Raw genomic sequence first — 22,979 nt, forward strand, 5'->3', positions numbered from 1 at the left:
GAGTGAAACTCTATCTCAAAAAACAAACAGGCCAGGCGCTGTGGCTCACACCTGTAATCCCAGCACTTTGGGAGGCCGAGGTGGGTGGATCATGAGGTCAGGAGTTCAAGACCAGCCTGGCCAATATGGTGAAACCCTGTCTCTACTAAAAATACAAAAATTGGCTGGGTGTGGTGGTGGGCACCTGTAATCCCAGCTACTTGGGAAACTGAGGCATGAAAACCACTAGAACCCAGGAGGCGGAGGTTGCAGTGAGCCGAGATCATGCCACTGCATTCCAGCCTGGGTGACAGAGCAAGACACTCTCTCGAGGAAAAAAAAAAAAAGAAAAGAAAAACAACTCAAGGGTTTGATAACATTGCCAGTATAACCATAATTCAAAACAAGCAGCAGAATTTGGAGGATAATTTGTTTAATTCTCAGGAAAATGTGAAACTCTGAAACTGCTTTTTGAGTGCAGGGTATTTCCGGGGCTTTTCCTAAAGTCTTAACCCTTGGCTCTGACCCCTTATTTGAAGTTTGGAGAGCAGAACCGAGGATTGTATTACTACAGTTGTGGACACAGGAGAGGGGTTAGTCTCCCCCCGCTCCAGGAGTAAGGGATGCTGGGCTGCTCGAACACAGGCCTTGTTAGAACTCCCTTCAAACAGGATCCCAGAGATGTGGGGAGAAGGTAACTGGCCTTAAGAATGATTGCGCTACAGCTTTTGAAAACTATAATGCCTTTCAAATATGGCTTATTGCTTGGATCTCAATATCTCCCACGTATCTTGGGTGGAATATTTTGCTGAAGATCTTTCTGTCAATCATTTACAATCATGTGCTGCAAAATGAAGTTTGCGTCAACAGTAGACCACATATATGATGGTGGTTCCGTAAGCGTATAATGGAGCTATCCCTATATAGGTATACCATTTTTATCTTTTTTTTTTTTTTTTTTTTTTTTTTTTTTTGAGATGGAGTCTCACTCTGTTGTCCAGGCTGGAGTGCGGTGGTATGATCCCAGCTCATTGCAACCTCCACCTCCCAGGTTCAAGTGATTCTCCTACCTCAGCCTCCTGAGTAGCTGGGATTATAGACACGCGTCACCACACTCAGCTAATTTTTGTATTTTTAGTAGAGATGGGGTTTCATCATGTTGGCCAGGCTGGTCTTGAACTCCTGAGCTCAAGTGATCCACCCACCTTGGCGTCCCAAAGTGCTGGGATTACAGGCATGAGCCACTGTGCCCAGGCCCCATTTTTATCTTTTACACAGTATTTTAACTATATATTTTCCATGTTTACATACACAAATACCTGCCATTCTGTGACAGTTGCCTTTAGTATTCAGTACAGTAACATACAGTACAGGTTTGTAGCCTAGGAGTCCTAAGCCATACCGTGTACCCTAGGTATGGTGGCTACACCACCTAGGTTTGTGTAAGTATACGCTATGATATTAGCACAATGGTGAAATCACCTAGTGACCCATTTCTCAAGCTCCTCACGTGGCAAGCAATGCATGACTGCATATGAAAGCTCTTAAATAGGGATTGTTTCTAAATTAATCTCAAAACAGTCATTATTTACTATTTATGGAATTTTTTTTAAAAAAAGGAGCAAAAGTATCATTTCAGTGGGAACTTAACTTGGGGCTACAGTGTTTTATTTAACTTTTACCCCAAAGTTGCAAAGTGTTTTGAAATTTTTCCCTGTAAAATAATTATTTTAATTCAATTTAAATAAAACCCACCAAGGAGACTTCAAGCTTTAAGAAGTCTAGCTTCCTGTGAAATGTGAGAGGAAGTCAGCACTCATTTCAGAAATCTGATTATAACAATAGCTCCATCCCTAAATGAGGTGAATCTTGGAATCTCTTCCATTTTATTTTATTTTATTTTTTTGAGATGGAGTTTCTCTCTTGTTGCCCAGGCTGAAGTGCAATGTTGTGATCTCGGCTCACTGCAACCTCTGCCTCCCAGGTTCAAGCGATTCTCCTGCTTTGGCCTCCTGAGTAGCTGGGATTGCAGGTATGCACCATCACACCTGGCTAATTTTGTATTTTTAGTAGAGACGGAGTTTCACCATGTTGGTTAGGCTGGTCTCGAACTTCTGACCTCAGTGATCCCCCCACCTCGGCCTCCCAAAGTTCTGGGATTATGGGTGTGAGCCACCACACCCGGCCCCCCTTCAATTTTAAAGCCATCACTATGCACCCTATGTCTATGCCAGGCACTAAAATAAGATGAAGCACCTTCTTGGAGTTTACATGCTGGTAATTATGCCAGACAGTAATAAAATAGGTAAGAACGGCTGTGGGGGAAGTCAGCTGGGTTCTAGTTACAGTCGCATTTCAGGAAATGATTTAACATGCTGACTTTAACAACCTAAGCCTCTTCTCCATGTGTGCACACAGGGTAGATCTCTGAACACAGGTGACCCTAGAAGTGCTGTAACTTCTAGGGGAATGGCTGTGTTGAGTCAAGGCAGGATGACAGTTCAGCCTCCTCCCAGGCTAGTGCAAAGGGCTCTTCACTCGGATTAAAACCTTCTCTCCCAGACCGAATTGCCAACTCCCAACACCCCTCCTACAGAAAATGTGGAGTCCTCGCTTATTCCCTGGCAGCCCCTACCTAATAGGGTGGTGAATTAATTATCAAACATGCGACAGTTTAGCGAAAATGGCAACACTTTGGAATAAGTGACTGTAATGTGCATCCTGGCGCCCATTTTGCAGGTCAGTTGCTCTCCCTGGAAGGAAGAGTGTTCTCGGATTTCACCTTAAAGGAGGAAGGCTGCCAGAACTGAACTAGCACTTCTGAATATCCTGAGGCGAGGTCCGGTGACTTCCTTGGGAAGCTCTGCCGCGCCCCCACCCCACCCTACCCCACCCTACCCCACCACAGCAGGCGCTGGAGTCCTGGGACCACCAGGGTCTGAGGCCCAAATCCTTCCTCACTAAGGGGAGGAGAGGGGTGTTCCGGCAGGGCAGGATGGGAAGGCGTGCTTGGGCGGGATTGTGACATAAGAGTGCCCTGGTGACATGGAGCAGATCTGTGACATAAATAAAGGTGTCATAAAGACAGGGCGGGGCTCACGCTTAGAAGGGGCACGAGCGTCTCGGAGCTGCCAGAATGTCTTCTGCTCAGTGCCCGGCACTAGTGTGTGTCATGTCCCGGCTGCGTTTCTGGGGCCCATGGCCCCTCCTTATGTGGCAACTATTGTGGCTACTAGTTAAGGAGGCTCAGCCTCTGGAGTGGGTCAAGGACCCGCTCCAGCTCACCTCTAATCCCCTGGGGCCGCCTGACTCCTGGTCTTCCCACTCCTCCCATTTCCCACGGGAATCTCCCCATGCGCCTACTCTCCCAGCAGACCCGTGGGACTTTGATCACCTGGGGCCCTCTGCTTCCTCAGAGATGCCAGCCCCACCCCAGGAATCGACTGAAAATTTGGTTCCATTCCTGGACACCTGGGATTCAGCTGGAGAGCAGCCCCTGGAGCCAGAGCAGTTCTTGGCTTCACAGCAGGATTTAAAGGACAAGCTGAGTCCACAGGAAAGACTCCCTGTTTCGCCCAAGAAGCTGAAGAAAGATCCAGCTCAGCGTTGGAGCCTTGCTGAGATTATTGGAATTACACGCCAATTATCCACACCTCAGAGTCAGAAACAGACTTTGCAGAATGAATATTCCAGTACAGATACACCGTATCCCGGTAGCCTGCCTCCAGAACTCCGGGTGAAGTCAGATGAGCCTCCAGGGCCCTCTGAGCAAGTTGGACCTTCTCAATTCCATCTAGAGCCCGAAACTCAAAATCCAGAGACCCTTGAAGACATCCAGTCCTCTTCACTCCAGCAAGAAGCCCCAGCACAGCTTCCACAGCTCCTTGAGGAAGAACCTTCTTCAATGCAGCAGGAGGCCCCAGCTCTGCCTCCAGAGTCCTCTATGGAGAGTCTAACTCTACCGAATCATGAGGTGTCAGTTCAACCTCCAGGTGAGGATCAAGCTTATTATCACTTGCCCAACATTACAGTTAAACCTGCAGATGTGGAGGTTACCATAACTTCAGAGCCTACCAATGAGACAGAATCTTCCCAAGCCCAGCAGGAGACCCCAATTCAGTTTCCAGAGGAGGTGGAACCTTCTGCAACCCAACAGGAGGCCCCAATTGAGCCTCCAGTTCCTCCTATGGAGCATGAACTTTCCATCAGTGAGCAGCAGCAGCCAGTTCAGCCTTCTGAGTCTCCTAGGGAGGTCGAATCTTCTCCGACCCAGCAGGAGACCCCAGGTCAGCCTCCAGAACATCATGAAGTCACAGTTTCACCTCCAGGTCACCATCAAACTCATCATTTAGCTTCACCCAGTGTCTCTGTGAAGCCTCCAGACGTGCAGCTCACCATAGCAGCAGAGCCTAGTGCAGAGGTGGGAACTTCTCTAGTCCACCAGGAGGCTACAACTCGGCTCTCAGGGTCAGGTAATGATGTAGAACCTCCCGCCATCCAGCACGGGGGCCCACCTCTGCTTCCAGAGTCATCAGAAGAAGCTGGACCTTTAGCAGTTCAACAGGAGACTTCATTTCAATCTCCGGAACCTATTAATAATGAGAACCCCTCTCCAACCCAGCAGGAGGCTGCAGCTGAGCATCCACAGACCGCTGAGGAGGGTGAGTCTTCCCTAACCCATCAGGAGGCCCCAGCTCAGACTCCAGAGTTCCCTAATGTAGTTGTAGCTCAACCTCCAGAGCATTCACACCTGACTCAAGCCACAGTTCAACCTTTGGATCTGGGGTTTACCATCACTCCAGAATCCAAGACAGAGGTTGAACTTTCTCCAACCATGAAGGAGACCCCAACTCAGCCTCCTAAGAAAGTTGTACCCCAACTTCGAGTATATCAAGGGGTAACAAATCCAACACCAGGTCAGGATCAAGCTCAGCATCCAGTGTCACCCAGCGTTACAGTTCAACTTTTGGACCTGGGACTTACCATCACTCCAGAACCTACTACGGAGGTTGGACATTCTACACCCCCGAAGAGGACTATAGTTTCTCCAAAGCATCCTGAGGTGACACTTCCACATCCAGACCAGGTTCAGACTCAGCATTCACACCTGACTCGAGCCACAGTTCAACCTTTGGACCTGGGGTTTACCATCACTCCAAAATCCATGACAGAGGTTGAACCTTCTACAGCCCTGATGACTACAGCTCCTCCTCCAGGACACCCTGAGGTGACACTTCCACCTTCAGACAAGGGTCAGGCTCAGCATTCACACCTGACTCAAGCCACCGTTCAACCTCTGGACCTGGAGCTTACCATAACTACAAAACCTACTACAGAGGTTAAACCATCTCCAACCACGGAGGAGACCTCAACTCAGCCTCCAGACCTGGGACTTGCCATCATTCCAGAACCCACTACAGAGACTAGACATTCTACAGCCCTGGAGAAGACTACAGCTCCTCGTCCAGACCGGGTTCAGACTCTGCATCGAAGCCTGACTGAAGTCACAGGTCCACCTACTGAACTAGAACCTGCTCAGGATTCACTGGTGCAGTCTGAAAGTTACACCCAAAATAAGGCTTTAACTGCACCAGAGGAACACAAGGCCTCCACAAGCACCAACATATGTGAGCTCTGTACCTGCGGAGATGAGATGTTGTCATGTATTGATCTCAACCCAGAGCAGAGGCTCCGCCAAGTGCCTGTGCCAGAGCCCAACACCCACAATGGCACCTTCACCATCTTGTAAGAATCACTTTTCCTCAATTGTCCTCTGTGTCCTGCCTGACATGGCAGCCTTTTCCTGGAGGCCTTCCTGGGCCTTCTTTATCTCCCCAAGCCATATGGACAACTGACTTTCTGCTTTCACCTTTGCTTGTCAACTCTCCCTTCTCCTCATTCTCTTTTAATGTTAGGCCCCTTCTCCAGTCTTTTCCTTTTACTCTGGTCTTTTACTCGTTTTTGTATCCATTTTTATTTAGCCCCATCACATCATTGCTTAACCGCTGCTCTCCTCCCATTTTCGCTTCACCCTCTTTACAGCAGCCTGTCCCTCTCCCGATCTCAGTGATGATGCTCTAAGTGGTTAAGAGTTGATTCCGGAGCCAGGCTGCCTGGGTTTGAACCCAGATCTATTTATTAGCTTGGTGACCCAGAGCAAGTTATTCTGCCTGTGACTCAATTTCCTCACCTTTAAACTGGGGATCATGCTAGTTAGCATTTCATAGGATTGTTGTGAAATTTAGGTGAGTGAATATATGAAACACTTCATCAGTGCTTAGCATATGTAGGAGAGTTGGCTGTTCACATGATTATTCAGTCCTTTAGTTTTGTCCAGAACTCATTTTTGTCCCTAGCTTTCTATATGTAGAACTAGTTTTATGTCAAACCCAGGGCCAAGTATGCTACTGTCTCCAGAACACGAAAATGATAGGAGGGAAGAGGCTGGGTGTGGTGGCTCACGCCTGTAATCCCAGCACTTTGGGAGGCCGAGGCGGGCGGATCATGAGGTCAGGAGATCAAGACCATCCTGGCTAACATGGTGAAACCCCATCTCTACTAAAAATACAGAAAAAAATTAGCCAGGCATGGTGGTGGGTGCCTGGAGTCCCAGCTACTCGGGAGGCTGAGGCAGGAGAATGGCATGAACCTGGGAGGCAGAGCTTGCAGTGAGCCGAGATTGCACCACTGCACTCCAGCCTGGGCGACAGAGCAAGACTCCATCTCAAAAAAAAAAATGATAGGAGGGAAGAAAGAGAATAGGCATAAAAAGGGAGGTATATATAATTAAGTACTAAAAGATAATGCAGACCATTGGTGCTAGAATTTGCCAGAATCTGTGATCCTTGAGGTGTGGAGATGCTACATGGGTAAGCTAAAACTTTACTTGGGTCTTAAAGAGTAGCCATAATTTGTTAAATAGGAGAAAAATGGGAGTACAGTCTAGGCAAACGCATGGCTACAGGTATGGTTGGAATTTAGTAGACCAATGTGGCTACAAAGAATTAGGTGAGGGAGCAATGAAGATACGATTCTGTAAAACCTTGATTATCAGCTACAGGAGTTTGAAAGTTACACAATGAGGTATGGAAAGCCATTGAAAGTTTCCAAGCAAGAGAGATTACATGATCAAAACAGGAAGATTATTTTATTTTGTTTTTTGCATTATGTGCAAGTGTAGACATGCAGAGGATTGTTTTAGAATCCATATGTAAAGTGTCCAAAAGGAAAAGCTTAATTCAGGGAGACAAAATAGAAAGGTCTAGCAAAATCTAGGAGTGAGGTGTGAAGGGGCCAAATCAGATCAGTTGTAATAGGAGTGGAAAGAAAAAGCCTAGGATGTTTCAACAGAGGGCACTGGGCCAAAGCTTTGGTGTTACCTGGCATAGGGTTTCTTTCTTCTCATTTGTTGATAATGATAAGCTTTTGCCCATATTTCTGTGGAATTATTTACCATTTTGGTACTGATTTGTAGAAGTCTGTTTAGACACATAAGTGCTTTTAGATAAAATACTTACATTCAAAGTAATTAACTGGCATCATCTGTCCAAGAGATGGGATGGATAAGAAGTTAAGCTTCCAGGAGATGCCTCATCATTTGTGCCGGTGACCCCGCATAATTTCTTGATGAATTGTGCAAACTGGGAAGCTGATAGCTCTGGAAATGAGAAAGCAGGTGTTATTTTCTGTTTCTGAATATCCCCAACAAGATTGCAATGATTCTTTTACTTATCGTGTTCATTGTTTTCCTACCTATTCAAGGATATAAACTGTGTTTCTTCACAGAAATTTCCAAGGAAACTATATTTCTTACATTGATGGAAATGTATGGAAAGCATACAGTTGGACCGAGAAACTGTGAGTATATTCTCTCCAAATATGACAAAAAGCTAACTGCATTGTAAGATCCTTCTTGGTCCAGAATTTTGAGGTCGGTACCTCTGAGGAAAGATATTTCTCCTCCACGCCCCAAATCAACCACTGTTGATTGCAATTGTATGGTTATTTTAAAATTAAATTTGGTAGGCTCTCTTTAAAATAAGAGGCAATTTAAATTTATTTTTTATCATACAAATAGTACATGGTTATATTCCTTTTTGTTCTCTTTTTTTTTTTTTTTTTTTTTTTTTCAGAGACAGGGTCTTACTTTGTCCTCTGGGCTGCAGTGCAGTGGCACAATCACAGCTCACTGCAGCCTTCACCTCCCAGGCCCAAGTGATCCTCTCACCTCAGCCTCCCCAGTAGCTGGGACCACAGGTGCATGCCACCACACCCACCTAATTTTGTATTTTTTGTAGAGACAGGGTCTTCCTATGCTGCTTAGGCTGGTCTTGAACTCCTGGGCTCAAGTGATCCTCCCACCTTGGCCTCTTAAAGTGTTCATATTACAGGCATGAGCCACCACCCGCAGCCCATGATTCCATTTTTAATATATAAAAATGCAATAACAGATATAACAAAAACTCTCCTTGTGCCCTACTCCCTCATCCCTGAAGTAATGCTACTCTGCATTTAGTATACATGCTTCCAGACTTTTCCTCATTTACCTACATACATATTTACATAAAGCAAAATAGATTTGTTTTGTGGTTTTAAAATTTTTTCTTCGCATAAAGGGTAACATCTTGCAACTTGATTCTTTCACTTCATGATATGCCTTAGATTTCTTTCCTTCCCAGTACTGAGAGGGTCACCCCATTCATTTAAACTCCTGCATAATCCATAGTATGGATGCATCATGGTTTATTTAATAATTCCCCCATTGATGAATGTTTAGATTATGCTTAGTTTTCTTGTTACATGCATTGCTGCAATGAAATCCCTGTACATGCTTCTTTGTGAACATGTGCAAGTATTCCTGTAGCATAGATATCTGGAAATGGAATTCTTGGGGTGAAGACTATGTAGATATAAAATTTTAATTGCCTTCAAAAATTTTGTGCCAACTTACTCTATTGTCAGCAGAATATGACAGCATTCATTTCCCAACACCTTTTCACCGCTGGGTATTCTCCAACTTTTTGCTGAAGTTATGGATGAATAAAAGGGATTCCATCTAAATGTGAATTTTTCTGATTACTCATGAATTTAATTTAGTATCTTTATATGTTTATTGAACATTTGTGTTTCTTCTCTGAGTTTTCTGGCCTTTGTTCATTTTCCTGTTGAATTGTTTTATCATTTTCTTACTGATTTATAGAAGGAATTGGTTTAGACACATAAGTGATTTTGGAAAAAATGCTTACATTCAAAGTAACTGACATTTTTCACAACAGTTTGTGTGTCACATCATTATTCCAATGTATATAGACAAGCCACGATGAGTTCTAAATTAAAAATAAACATATGCTAGGCGCGGTGGCTCACGCCTTTAATCCCAGCACCTTGGGAGGTAGGCGGATCACCTGAGGTCAGGAGTTTGAGACCAGCCTGGCCGATAGGGCGAAACCCCATCTCTACTAAAAATACAAAAAGTAGCCAGGCGTGGTGGTGGGTGCCTGTAATCCCATCTACTTGGGAAGCTGAGGCAGGAGAATTGCTTTATTTATTTTTTCAGATGGAATTTTGTTCTTGTTGCCCAGGCTGGAGTGCAATGGTGCGATCTTGGCTCACTGCAACCTCCACCTCCCGGGTTCAAGGGATTCTCCTGCCTCAGCCTCCTGGGTAGCTGGAATTACAGGTGCCCTCCATCACACCCAGCTAATTTTTATATTTTTAGTAGAGACAGGGTTTCACCATGTTGGCCAGGCTGGTCTCAAACTCATGACCGTGGGTGATTCACCCACCTTGGCTTTCCAGAGTGCTGGGATTACAGGCATGAGCCACCACGCCAGGCCAGAACTACATTTTAAAAACAAGAAAATTATTACAAAGGTCAGGATAGTGGTTACCTATTAGGGTTAGAGAGAGGGATATGATTGGAAAGGGGCACACTGGGGCTTCTGGCATGCTAGCAATGATCTTTTGTAACGATGTTTACATGGGTATCTGCTTCATAATTATTAAACTGAATATTTTGGCCAGGTGAGGTGGCTCATGTCTGCAGTCACAGCACTTTGGGAAGCAGACACAGGAGGATCACTTGAGCCAGGAGTTTGAGACCAGTCTGGGAACAGAGTGAGACCCTGTCTCAAAAATTAAATTAAATTAAATATAAACAACATTTATGTTATGTGCACTTTATGCACATTATAGTTCTCCAGTTTTTTTGATGGGGGGAAAAAGGTTGAATGGCTTCACTTGCAGCCCTGACATGGTTCCATGTGGGGCTTTCATAATAAGGTTTGGGAAAAGAGAGGAGGAAATGGAGGTTCTGCTGATCTTGGTGCCACCCAGAGTTGGATTCTAAAAGGGATTTTGTGATCTAGAGAGGAGGCATGAAATAACAGAATTTGGTGGGAAGAAACCCACTCTTCAAGGGGTGTGCTTGAGTGTGTGTGTGTGTGTTTGTGGTGGTGGTGGAGAGAGATGGACACAAAAAGGAAAATATAAGAAAAGGTTTGAATGAAAGCAGAGCAGATCCCACCATCTTGAAGTGACCATGACCCAGCTTTCCTCCACATGCAGGAGATGGTTCTGTGTAGCAAATAGTTGTAGTTTGCATTTTAATCTAGAAATAACTTCTTCATTTTCCAGAATTCTCAGAGAAAATAACTTGACTGAATTACACAAGGATTCATTTGAAGGCCTGCTATCCCTCCAGTATTTGTAAGTTAGTTAATTATATTTATGAGTTTTTAGTCATATTATCTGTAAAATGAATAAGGGGTTCAAATTAGATAATCTCTCAGATTTCTTTGAGCAATAAAATTCTGCAATTCTGTAAGTTTGTATAGGGTCTCAGCCCATCTCTAGCACTAGCTACCTCCTGTGCATTTTCAGTTTTTAAGTTGTATAGACAAAATACAGACAAAAACATTTCACATGGTAAGAAAATCTGAGCAGTGACTGACACCCATATGAACCTTGTTTTATAAGGGTTCACATATCATTCTTTTTCTATTCAGTCTACAACCAATAGATCCAATCTAATTTATGGTCTATTTTTAAATAGCCCATTAAGTTAAGAATGGGTTTTGCATTTTTAAAGGGACTGTGAAAGAAAAAGAAAAGAAACAAAGAAATATGCGAGAGATCATATGTGGCCCATAAAACCTAAAATATTTACTGTCTGACCTTCACCAAAAAAAATTTCAAAAAGTTGGTTTAGTAGGATGAAAGGAACTAAAGTTAACTTCAGATGGTTGCCTAAAGGAGAAGAAAATGGAGACCACCTGCATTCATTTGAACATCATTAATCCAGAATTTTTTGGTAATTTAATCGGAATTAAATTAACATTTAAATATTAAAAATAGCTGAATTATATCAATATTATCATCAAGAATATTAAGCTACCAAGAGAATAGACTGGTATTAAGGATTTCATTTCAGGAATTGTTATATTAAAACAGATGTTTAAAATGATGGTTAACTGGTAGAGCTAGAAATGTTTACACTAAGAAGCACATCAGAAATGCCCCTAACTCTTCACTAATTACAAAATAACGATCGCCCCAGCCCTGTTACCAAGAAAGGGATCCCTGTATTTCTGTCTGTTTAGAGACAAGAAGATACTATGTTCATTGCTATGAATGCTTGATTCTTACCCTTTGTCCATAGAGGTGTGTATGTCATTAATCCTTATTAAGCTCATTAGTGATGCTCTTTTGCAAACAGATTCTCTCAAATATAGAAGGCTTAAGGAAAGTGGGTGTAAAGACCCTCAGGTGGATGCCAAAGTGCTACAGAGACCATGAAATAATAAAACTACGTTTCCTTTAAAATAGTTATTTTCCTTCTACTCACTCCCCCCTATTCATTTATTTTACAAATATTTGAGTTTGCTTTATTTCCATGTGTCAGTTTTAAACATGGTGGGCAATGCAGATGAGCAAGACCTAGTCCATGCTTTCAGGGACCTGTTTATGCTCAGAAGAAATGGGATACAAAATAACTACATTAAGAAGAAGAAATGGATGTGGGCACTAGGAGGGATAAATTGTTTCTCGAACATAGAAGAGGAAAAAATGCCTTCAATTTGGACCCAGGAGGATGTTACTAGAACAATGCCATTTGAATAGGACTTTAAAGGGCCATTGTGTAACACCAGACAGACATCTTGGGGAAAATACTCTAAACTTGCAAAAGGAAAATGGGAGGGCAAAACACAGGAAAGTATTCAAGGAATGCCATGAGTACCCGTAGAGTACAAGAAGGGAGAGTAGGAAAATGGAGCCAGATCTTCTAGAGCTTTGAATGCCAAGCTGAGGAGCCAACATGGGGAACCGTGTTACCACAGCAGCGCTGTAAGGTAGATCTGCATCACAGTCATTGAGAGGGCACGTTAGAACTCAGTTCTGGACTCCACCCTCGTAGTTACTGATTCAGTTGGTCTAGAGTGGGACCAAGAATTTGCATCTTCAGTAATTTCCCAGGAGATGCTGGTCTTTGCAAGCCACTTCTGGAGAGTTTATATGATGACTGTGTGCAGGATAGTTTAGGTAGGGAGAGACTAGAGATGGAGACATCAGCCAGACAACGTTACACCATCCAGGTAAAGAGGGAGGGACAAACTCCATCACTGTATAACTGAAGAAATTTTTTTTTATGAAATATTAAAGCAATACAAAACCAAAAATGAATTTCTATTAATATGATAGAAATTAATTCTATTAATATGATTTGAATTAGTTCAAAGTTATGTATTAGGTAAAGGGGTAGCTTCCTTTCAAATGATGTGAAAGGATGTCTTTTATTTCTTCTGATATTGAAGTGGCTTAGGAAAACAGACCTAAACTAAGAAGGTGTAGAAATGTGAGACTTGTTTGTTTGTTTGTTTGTTTGTTTGAGACGGAATCTCGCTCTGTCGCCCAGGCTGGAGTGCAGTGGTGCAATCTTGGCTCACTGCAAGGTCCGCCTCCTGGGTTCATGCCATTCTCCTGCCTCAGCCTCCTGAGCAGCTAGGACTACAGGCACGTGCCACTAGGCCCGGCTAATTTTTTATTTTTTTTGTAGAGACAGGGTTTCACCGTGTTAGCCAGGATGGTCTCGATATCCTGACCTCAGGATCTGCCAGCCTCGGCCTCCGAAAGTGCTGGATTACAGGCCTGAGCCACCGCACCCGGCCCGACTATTTTTTTTAATATTAGAAATTGTGTATATAGAGATAAAATCTTTGAGCTCATAATCTAAGATTTGATGACACTACAAAAGGGCATCTAATCAAGTCTACTGCTCTCAGGAAAAATTAATTCCAAAGTCTATTATGTTGTATATTTATTAAAACCATGAAGGTGAGACTCTAGGAGAGGTATGGGCAGGGTTAGGGGCTCTGGAATGTTCAAATACAAGTCCAAACGTTTAGAGTTGAGATGAAAAACAGGTATTCAGTATTATTCTAAACTCTTGCTGTTATTCATACCAATTGACATTTAATAACTAATCAAGGCAATATTTTCGTTTTCCTAGAGATTTATCCTGCAATAAAATACAGTCTATTGAAAGACATACATTTGAACCACTACCATTTTTGAAGTTTATGTAAGTTACAAATATAACTTGATTACATTTGGAATTTTTATAAAACTTAATTATAAACCTTTTTGCTATTCTTGAAATATGATTAAAATTTTACCAGTAGAAAGCTACTAAAATTATACAGCAAATCCTTTTTGTCTCTAGCAAGGATTATTGTGAGAATTATTACACAGATCTTAGTGAATCATCAGAGAGCAGTGGTTCTCAGGTGGTGTGATTTTGCACTCAGGTGGCATTTGGTAATGTCCGGAGACAGTTTTGGTTGACAAAACTGTGAGTGTGCTCCTGGCATCTGGTGGGCAAAGGCCAGAGATGCTGCTAAACATCCTTCAAGGTATAAGACAAACCCCCATGGCAAAGAGTTATATAGTCCAAAATGTTGATGGCACTGAAGTTGTGAAATCCTGTTCTAGAGAAATAAAGATCACTTAACACAGGTATTTACTGAGCATTCACTGTTTTGTATCTAATGCACCACATGTGCAGTGTTAAAGTATAAATCATAAGCCAGTATCTTCCACAGTCAGATTTCCTTAGTGCATAGAGAAAGGATTGAGGTTATGTTCCATCCTATATAAATTAGAATCATGGCAAATGATAAATGTTCTGAAATAATTTTTTTTTTCTTTGGCTTGTGTCTTTTTTTTTTAGAAATCTTAGTTGCAATGTAATTACAGAACTCAGCTTTGGAACATTTCAGGCCTGGCACGGAATGCAGTTTTTACATAAGTTGTAAGTGAAATAGAAGATGAATACATGTAAACAACTATTTATGTACAAAAACTCATACAATTATTGGGTAGCTGGGTATAAGCCCATTATCAACTCTGAAAAGCATGTCTTAAGATCCATTCATTTTTCTCAAATGGGGAAGCTAAGGTACAAAGAGGCCAAGAGACTTACGTAGCTTATATATGACCTCCTCTGCTTGTCCTAGTTCTGACCTATAGCATGGGCAAGAAAAGGCATCAAAGAAGTGACCCTCAAATTAGCCTTGTTGCTGGGCGGGGTGGCTCAGACCTGTAATCCCAGAACTTTGGGAGCCGAGGTGGGTGGATCACCCGAGGTCAGGAATTCAACACCAGCCTGGCCAACATAGTGAAACCCTGTCCCTACTATAAATACAAAAAAAAAATCTGGGCGTGGTGGTGCAGTTTTTTGCTCCCTGGAGGACTTTGTGTTAAGCTTCCTTCCTTGCAGCTAAATGTTGCAGACATTTAAGCAGTTAGAAACTCTGCATATGAGCAGGAATCAAATCCAAAGTTGTAGGGCCAGAATGGTGGCTCATGCCTGTAATCCCAGCACCTTGGGAGGCCAAGGTGGGAGGATCACTGGAGGTCAGGAGTTTGAGACCAGCCTGGCCAACATGGCAAAACCTCATCTCTACTAAAAATACAAAAATTAGCAGGTCATGGTGGCGGGCACCTGTGATCCTAGCTATCGGGAGGCTGAGGCACGAGAATGGCTTGAACCCAGGAGGGGGAAGTTGCAGTGAGCCGAGATTGTGCCACTACCCTCCAACCTCCCCTCCAGGCTGGTCTCGAACTCCTGTGACCTCAGGTGATCCGCCCACCTCAGCCTCCCAAAGTGCTGGGGTTACAGGTGTGAGCCACCATGCCTGGCCAAGATGGTGTTTATGTTAAGCTATTGTGCAAAAAAAAACTTTTGTAAAGAAAATATATCGCTGTATCTTAATTCCATATACTTTCCTGACTACTCTTCTACCATAATTGCAAAAATTCTATGATTTCTCTGTATAACATACCCATCAAATCAGAGTGGGTATATTCAGTGGCCTGAAGGGGACTCAAGGTGAAGATTCTCCTCTACATCTGACTTTAGAAAAGACGTTCCACCTGCCTTGTGGTTCAGAAATCTAGTTTCACACAGTTCATTTCAAGTTAGAGGGAGGCATTCAGGATGTGTCTGGACTAGAGCAGCAGTTTCTGCACATGCTCCCCTCTGTCCTCATTAATTTGCTGATGCATAACTTAGGAAAAGTACACTAAAGGTCTGTTTTTCTTTTGCCCTCACACCAGAGAACAGGCTCATTAGGTCCCTCCACCAAGAGGTTTAGGTAGCATCAATACAAATGTTTTAAACTCACCATCTTTACTAAGCACTTTATACAACTGGGAGTCCCTCATAAAAATCTGGTGGCCGGGAGCGGTGGCTCATGCCTGTAATTCCAGCACTTTGCTGAGGTGGGTGGATCACCTGAGGTCAGGAGTTCAAGACCAGCCTGACCAACATGGTGAAACCTGTCTCTACTAAAAATACAAAAATTAGCTGGGCATGGTGGCAGGCAACTGTAATCCTAGGTACTCAGGAGGCTGAGGCAGGAGAATCACTTGAAACCAGGAGGCGGAGGTTGCAGTGAGCCGAGATGGCACCATTGCACTCCAGCCTGAGGGACAGAGTGAGACTCTGTCTCAAATAATAATAATAATATAATAATAATAATCATCATCATCATCATCATCATCATCATCATCTAGCCAGCTTCACTACAATTATGTAGGCAACACCAGGAAAACACTGGAATCACAGTTGATAAAAATTAATGAATTCACTCAAAAACATTCAGAGTGTCATGTCCATTTGTGCCAGGTACTGTACTAAGTGCTGGGGCTACAAAATCCATCTCAAAGACACACCAAGATGAGGACTTTGTCCCCAGGGGACTTTCATTCCTCAAGGAGGAAGCGGATGCTGATGGGAAAACATATGAGAGCCATGTGGGGATCTGTACGGCAGGGTGACAAGGAGAGGACAAAGCAGGAATGGGGGCTGGGTTAAGAAAGACTTGAGAGACACTAACTTGCTTATCTTGAGTTTCTGTGTTCATCTTAAACAACAGAAAAAGGCATTTGCTTCATGGTGATGAAAAAATCAGAGCTAGCTGATATTGGAAACTAGCACTCATTTCATATAAACAGAATAGAGCTGTACCCTTCAAACTAAGTCACAGTTACTTTCAAAGATTGGCACAAGGGTCTCAACACACCAAGTGTATGTTAGGGGCTGGGCCCTTTTGGAGTCAAATCTTCCTGGTAAACAAAGCTACACTGCAGTCATATTTGGCATATGTGACATATAGGCCCACTGCATTTCCTTCCAAAGGCAAGATGCCAAGGGAAGGTGCCAGTAATTTTATGACCAATATGACACCATTTTGTGGTGTTTGTAAGTTGAAACAATATATTTCCCTGCATTACACAAGTTTATAAAAAACAAACAAAAAAAGAGGCCCCAGCTGTGGTTGATCGATGATGAATAGAGCCTAACCTTCCAGGCTTCTCACTTGCACAGGCCCTTCCAAGGTCGTGGGAGGGCCCCTGGAAATTTTTGTATTCATAATTTTTTTAATGTTTTTACTAGATAAGGCTCAGGCCCCACAAAATCCTGAAATCATCCCTGGGTTCCAATAGTTACAACCCAGTAAATCTCTTGAATGAAGCCTCTATGTTATTGACAAATACTGACTGGCCAAGTTAGCAGGGTGATAGGGTCTGTCTATTTTGAATCTGAAATCCATCTCAAAGACAGGCCAAGAGCTTATTAGTGGACTTAACTGGATTCTGCTGGCCCAAGCGCAGTAAAGTCAAACAACCATATCGAGGTTTTGCATTGGGGAAAGGAGGACATTTATTTGCAGGGCATCCAAGCAAGAAGGACCAGGCGGCTAACTATCAAAGTCCCTCACTGAATGGGGGCAATAATCATATCTCTTACAGATGAAATCATGAATGAAATGGTTTATGGAAAAGCAGCAATGGTTGATAATCCTAAATGTTAAGTATGTTTATATTTTTTCCCTGACTTTAAAGTGCTTCTCCTTCATTCCTATACACAGGTCCAGACTGATGGCTTATTTTTTAAAATTCTCTTAGTCACTTCATTGGTTCTAACAATAATTTTAGAAACTGGATGACTTTGCAATGTAGAAAGGCTATACTTTATTCAGATAGAGTACACTCACATATTGGCTTGTCTATGGCACATCGATATCATGCCAAGAATGTAAGCACTAAGAGAGAATAAGAGGAAAATCCAGGCTTTATCCCTATTGAATTATTTATCCCACTATTAGAATACTAGTGAGGTAGGTGTGGCCACACTGTGATGGCAAATTGAGCTTCGGTCACAAACATGCCTTACTGTTCCCCCCAGTCTACTGACATCAGCTTCCTTTACATAGCGGTAGATGCACAAAAGTTTGCACAGTTGAGGGTATTGTCATCATGTTTTGGTATGTACTGGAATCCTGGCAGCTTCTTCTCTGATTCGGAGAGGCGCAAACATTAAAGACAAAAAGAACAACTCGAGTCTGTCCTTTGGGGTGATTTAGGGTGGCTGTTTAAATTTGTAGTGGTTGAAAAGTCTTGAGATTGTCACACCTAGCAACTCTTATACTTTTCTTCTCTCAGCTGCAGCTTGTTCTTTTCACCTGTGTAACAAGCTGTCTTCTCTTCTCACAGAAGCTTAGCATTTCTTCCTCTGCCCCATAGCATTTTTTCAATACTTAATTTACCAGGTGCTGTTTATGTTGTAGGCACCTAAGTACTTATACAAGTGAGATAACATGTCCGAAGTTCTTAGAACAGTGCTTGGCCTATGGTAAATGCTCCATACATGTTACCTCCTATGATACCTCATTTTCATTTTTCCAACAACTCTTGCGATGCGGTTATTATTATCATTTCTATTTTGTAGATGAGGAAGTTGAAACTCAGAGACGCTAGGTAATTTGCTAAGGTTCACACGGCTAATAAGTGGCAGAACCACTTACAAGCTTTGCAAATAATTTTCAATGCAGCTCTTAGTTCCCCTGTAATAGGAGCTGAATGATGACAATTTGGCTTTGTGTGCATTGTATCTTACTTTCTAACTTGAACAGGACCTGTAGAGCAGTGAGCTCCACTTCCCTCTGAGAATCCCACGCTTCTGGAGCTCCTGGCTGTACCAGCTCTGGGCATCCCCAGGGTTTATGCTCACCGGTCAGTGCTGGTGTGACATGATGGCTGAGCACCGGCACTGTGTCCAGCGCATTGCTAGGCACTAGACACGTGCTCTTTCATTTATTCCTCAAATTGCTTTGTGCTGTAAACGCTACCCAGAAAGGCTCATGTTCATTACTCAAGTCACTTCACCAGAAAGTGACAGAGCCAGAATTCAAACCCAGGTCTGCCAGATTCCAGGTCCCTTGCTTCTTCTGTTGTTGCTCATTGCAAGGGAGTCTTCTTCAAGGTTATTCTCAGGACTTTGATTAAGATACAGGCTCACAGCTGGGCATGGTGTCTCATGCTGTAATCTCAGCACTTTGGGAGGCCAAGGTGGGTGGATCACTTGAGCTCAGAAGTTCGAGACCAGCCTGGCCAACATGGTGAAACCCTGTCTCTACTAAAAATACAAAAATTAACCAGGCATGGGGACGGGCATCTATGATCCCAGCTACTCTGAAGGCTGAGGCAGGAGAATCACTTGACTCCAGGAGGTGGAGTTTGCAGTGAGCCAAGATCACACCACTGCACTGCACTCCAGCCTGGGCAACAGAGTGAGACTTCATCTCAAAAAAAAAAAAAAAAAGGAAAAAGGCTCACCATTTCAGATTCTCTAGATTTTGCCCCTGAAAAAGCATTTACGTGATGCAGTCCGAGGTCTTGTATGGAGGAGCTTGGTGTGGGGAGATGTGTGGCTCACGAACCTATGTAGGTGAATAAAGGAAAGAGGTTACTTTCTCCCCAAGTACATCGCGCATATTGGGTGAGGGTCTAGGTCATCTGCTTATTTCTTTGACTACCTTCTTCCATGGAACCAGTTTTCCCTGACAGCCTTGGGATTCTAGCATAGATCATTTTGGAGTTTGTCATTTAAATTTATTTTCACAGCCTGCTTTGGACATTTTTTCAGCTAGAGCTGTTAGGATTTCAGTACATTTAAGACAGTGATGACATGCTCCAGTCCTTTCATCTCTCTCTCCTCAGTTAATAGAAAGGAAACATAGCTCATCTATCTGGACCTGTACAGAAGAATTTGGAGGGAAAAAAAAGAACAAGCAAGAAATGTTCCCTTATTTTGTGAGCTACCTTTATTCTGTCCCATTGTTCTACAGCAAAAGGCTTGTATAAAAATATTTCAGTTTTCCTCATCTAATAAGGCATATTTAATAAAATTATTTAGAGCAGTACTTCTTAAACTTTTACTCTGAGACAGTCTTTGAGGCTGAAAAAAAGCTTGCCACATTTTACTTCCATAAAGATACCAAAAAGGCGATGGACTGGGAGTCAGTGCACCTTAGTTTAATGTATAAAATGAAGGACTTGAACCAGAAATGGAAATGGTCATCTACTGTGAATCTAAAAACACTCAAGGCTGGGCGCGCTGGCTCATGCCTGTAATCCCAGCACTTTAAGAGGCCAAGACAGGCAGATCGCTTGAGCCCCTGGAGTTCAAGTTCAGCCTGGGCAACAAAGTGAGACCCCAATCTCTACAAAAAGACTTTTAAAAAGTGGAAACATAAATATAAATAAATAAAAACACTCATATCATTTGGTTTGTGGAAAAGAGTTGCTGTAGAGTCCTCAAACTTGAGCCGTTGAGCCAGTTCCCACTCAGTCTCTCCATGGCCCAGGCACAACCTTAGTCAAGAAAAGAATGCCTTAGAACAGGAGGAAAAGAGGATAATATCGAATGGCCCTATATTTTGATTTCATTAGGGACAAATGCAAAGATCCTAATGTCAGCTGGAGAAGAGCTTCCTAGTTCAGAGGTAATGCTGAGCTCAAGGCTATGGATGAGCTATCAAGAAAGAGGGAAGGTTGGAGAGTGAGAGAATTTTGGAGGAAAGATAACAAACTTTGCCAAGTTGTTTGGCTACATACTGCCTTACAGTCATTATTTTTGGTGTTTAGAAAAAAATAGAAACAGGGTCTCACTTTGTTACCCAGGCTGGTCTCAAACTCCTGGGCTCAAGCTTTCCTTCTGCTTTGGCCTCCCAAAGTGCTGAGATTACAGGCTTGAGATGCTGTGCCCAGCCTACATTCATTTTTAATAGCTGGGAGGAAAGTGGGCAGAGGAAGATATAGAATGAAGGGGTAGCCGACTTTGTACAGAGCCCACCAGTGGTCTTACAAGTTTTCATGCCAAAAAAAATCACGAAGGATATTTAAAGCCCTAGTTTGAGAATCCATACTTAACCAGTCATGTGGCACTCACATTCTTTCTCTTTGTAACATCATCTTATTGAATATTAGTGTTACAAAACAAGTTAATGGCACTGAAAAACCATCTGGAATAGGAAAGAGGAGGGGGATCACAAGGCAGGACAAGCTGTGTGGCTCCCAGCCTCGCCACTGACTCACTCTGATCTTGGTCAAGGGAGAATGAATCTTCACTCCTCTTTTTTCCATCTGCCAGCATGTTTGGTCTTCTGGCACCTGGTGTTCTATACAGTACAACATGCTTCTTTGTGTTACATTGAGACTTGATCCACGTACCATCAACGCAGTATTATAAAGTGTACAATTCAGTGGTGGTTAGTATATTCTCAAGGTTGTATAGCAAACAATCACCATTATCTAACCCCAGAACATTTTCATCATCCCAAAAAGAAACATGGTACCCATTAGCCATCACTCCCCAGTGCTGTCTTCCCGCAGGCCCAGGTAACTACTAATCTACTTTGAGTCCCTATGGATTTGCCTATTCTAGATCTTTCATATAAACGAATCATACAGTATGTGGCCTTTTGTGTCTAGTTTCTTTTCACGAAGCATGTTGTTTCTAAGGTCCTCCCATGCTGCAGCATGGATCATTCCTTTGCAAGGCTGAGTGATATTCCATTGTATGGAGCCATCACTATATCCGTTCATCCATTCATCACTTAGTGGACATGTGGTTGTTTCTACTTTATTTTGGCTTTTATGAATAATGCTGCTATGGACATGCATGTACTACTTTTTGCGTGGACATGTTTTTAATTCTAGGGTGCATCCCTAGCAGAATTGCTAGATCGTATGGCAACTCTTATGTTTAACTTTTTGAGGACCTGTCAGGCTGATTTCCACAGTGGCTGCTCCATTTTACACTTCCATCTGCAATGTTTGAGGGTTTCAATTTCTCCGGGTCTTTGTCAACACTGTCGTTGTCTGTCTCTTCTCATAGCCATCCCAGTGAGTGTAAAGTAGTATCTCGCTGCAGTTTTTGATGGACATTTCCCTAATGATTTAAGACATTCAACATTTTTATGTGTATATGAGCCATTTATATATCTTCTTTGAAGAAATATTTATTCACATCCTCTGCCCATTTAAAAAATTGATTTGTCTTTTTATTGAATTATAGGAATTTCTCTATATCTTCTGGATACTCTGGATATTAGACCTTAACAGATAATTTGCCAATATTTTCTCTCATCCTGTGAGTTCTGTGACTTTCTTGCCAGTGTCCTTTGATGCACAAAAGTTTTTAATTTTGATAAAATCTAATGTATCTATTTTTCCTTTGGTTGTTTGTGCTTTTGGTGTCATGTGTGTGTATAAAATGTCTTATTCTTCTTTAAAAAGGTTCAGTGTTTGGTTTTAAATCAGGCTGTGTCCCTTTCATCTGTCTGACATTCTTGTCACCATGTCAGGCTGCCTTCAGCTAGTAATACTTCATTAAATTCAAAAGACAAAATTGTTTTAAAAGAAAAAAAATCCAGTTTGGAGAAGAAAAAACTGTTGTCTAATTTAAGGTCATGAAATTTACTCCCATGTTTTTGTGTAAGAGTCTTATCGTTTTGGCTCTTACATTTAGGTATTTGACATATTTTGCATCAATTCTTATAATCGTGTGAGATGTAGGGGGTCCACCTTCATTATTTTGCACATAGATGTTCAGGTGACGCCATTACACTCAAGCCTGGGCAACAGAGTGAGACTCCAATGGAGACGGGGTTTCAGCACGTTTATCAGGCTGCTCTCGAACTCCTAACCTCAGATGATCCACCTGCTTCAGCCTCCCAAAATGCTGGGATTACAGGCATGAGCTACCATGCCCAGCCAATAAATGAAAACTTTTTCACTCAAAAAAACAACAATTGTAGTGAAACCATAGATCAGTTTGGAGAATCATGCTATTATTATCTGCTTCATGTTTACAGAATACTCCGTTGAATTTGGTTTGCCAGATTTTGTCAAGCATTTTTCCATCTACATTCATAAGAAATACTGGTCTGTAATTTTTTGTGTGTGATGTCTTTAGTTTGGATACCAGGTTAATATCACCCTCATAGAATAAGTTAGGAAATGTTCTTTCCTCATCTGTATTTTGAAAGACTTTATGAAGGATTGGTGTTAATTCTTCTTTAAGTATTTGGTAGATTCACCAGTGAGGCTGCCTGCTGGTCTTCAGCTTTTCTTAGTGGAAAGTTTTTTGATTA

At 42.5% G+C, this 22,979-nt stretch overlaps 2 protein-coding genes across 31 annotated transcripts in view; one reads left to right on the plus strand and one right to left on the minus strand.

The window, feature by feature from the left end:
• Positions 1 to 22,979, plus strand: part of LRRC37A2 (leucine rich repeat containing 37 member A2) — a 676,337-nt gene that overhangs the window by 136,806 nt on the left and 516,552 nt on the right. For 8 of the 19 annotated variants that reach the window (XM_024450773.2, NM_001006607.3, XM_011524842.4 and 5 more), the window contains exons 1-5: positions 2,871 to 5,724; positions 7,765 to 7,836; positions 10,615 to 10,686; positions 13,487 to 13,558; positions 14,207 to 14,287. In XM_024450773.2, coding sequence (XP_024306541.1) covers positions 3,116 to 5,724; positions 7,765 to 7,836; positions 10,615 to 10,686; positions 13,487 to 13,558; positions 14,207 to 14,287 — 2,906 coding nt within the window. In that variant the 5' untranslated portion in view covers positions 2,871 to 3,115. Of the gene's footprint in view, positions 1 to 1,913; positions 2,012 to 2,091; positions 2,819 to 2,870; positions 5,725 to 7,764; positions 7,837 to 10,614; positions 10,687 to 13,486; positions 13,559 to 14,206; positions 14,288 to 22,979 lie in introns of those variants that run through there. The other 11 variants (XM_011524844.4, XM_011524848.4, XM_047436143.1 and 8 more) reach the window with 10 other exon arrangements.
• Positions 1 to 22,979, minus strand: part of ARL17A (ARF like GTPase 17A) — a 79,433-nt gene that overhangs the window by 9,308 nt on the left and 47,146 nt on the right. For 5 of the 12 annotated variants that reach the window (XR_934479.3, XR_934475.4, XR_934478.4 and 2 more), the window contains one exon: positions 7,497 to 7,636. Coding sequence is in view for 8 of the 12 variants with exons in the window: in XM_005257439.6 (XP_005257496.1) it covers positions 7,518 to 7,636 (119 nt within the window). In the remaining 4 variants the exon portion in view is untranslated. Of the gene's footprint in view, positions 1 to 4,313; positions 4,389 to 7,104; positions 7,417 to 7,496; positions 7,637 to 17,486; positions 19,263 to 22,979 lie in introns of those variants that run through there. The other 7 variants (NM_001288813.1, NM_001288811.1, XM_047436213.1 and 4 more) reach the window with 5 other exon arrangements.

The sequence above is a fragment of the Homo sapiens genome, chromosome 17 (genome assembly GCF_000001405.40).
Source record: "Homo sapiens chromosome 17, GRCh38.p14 Primary Assembly".
Classification (NCBI taxonomy): Eukaryota; Metazoa; Chordata; class Mammalia; order Primates; family Hominidae; genus Homo; species Homo sapiens.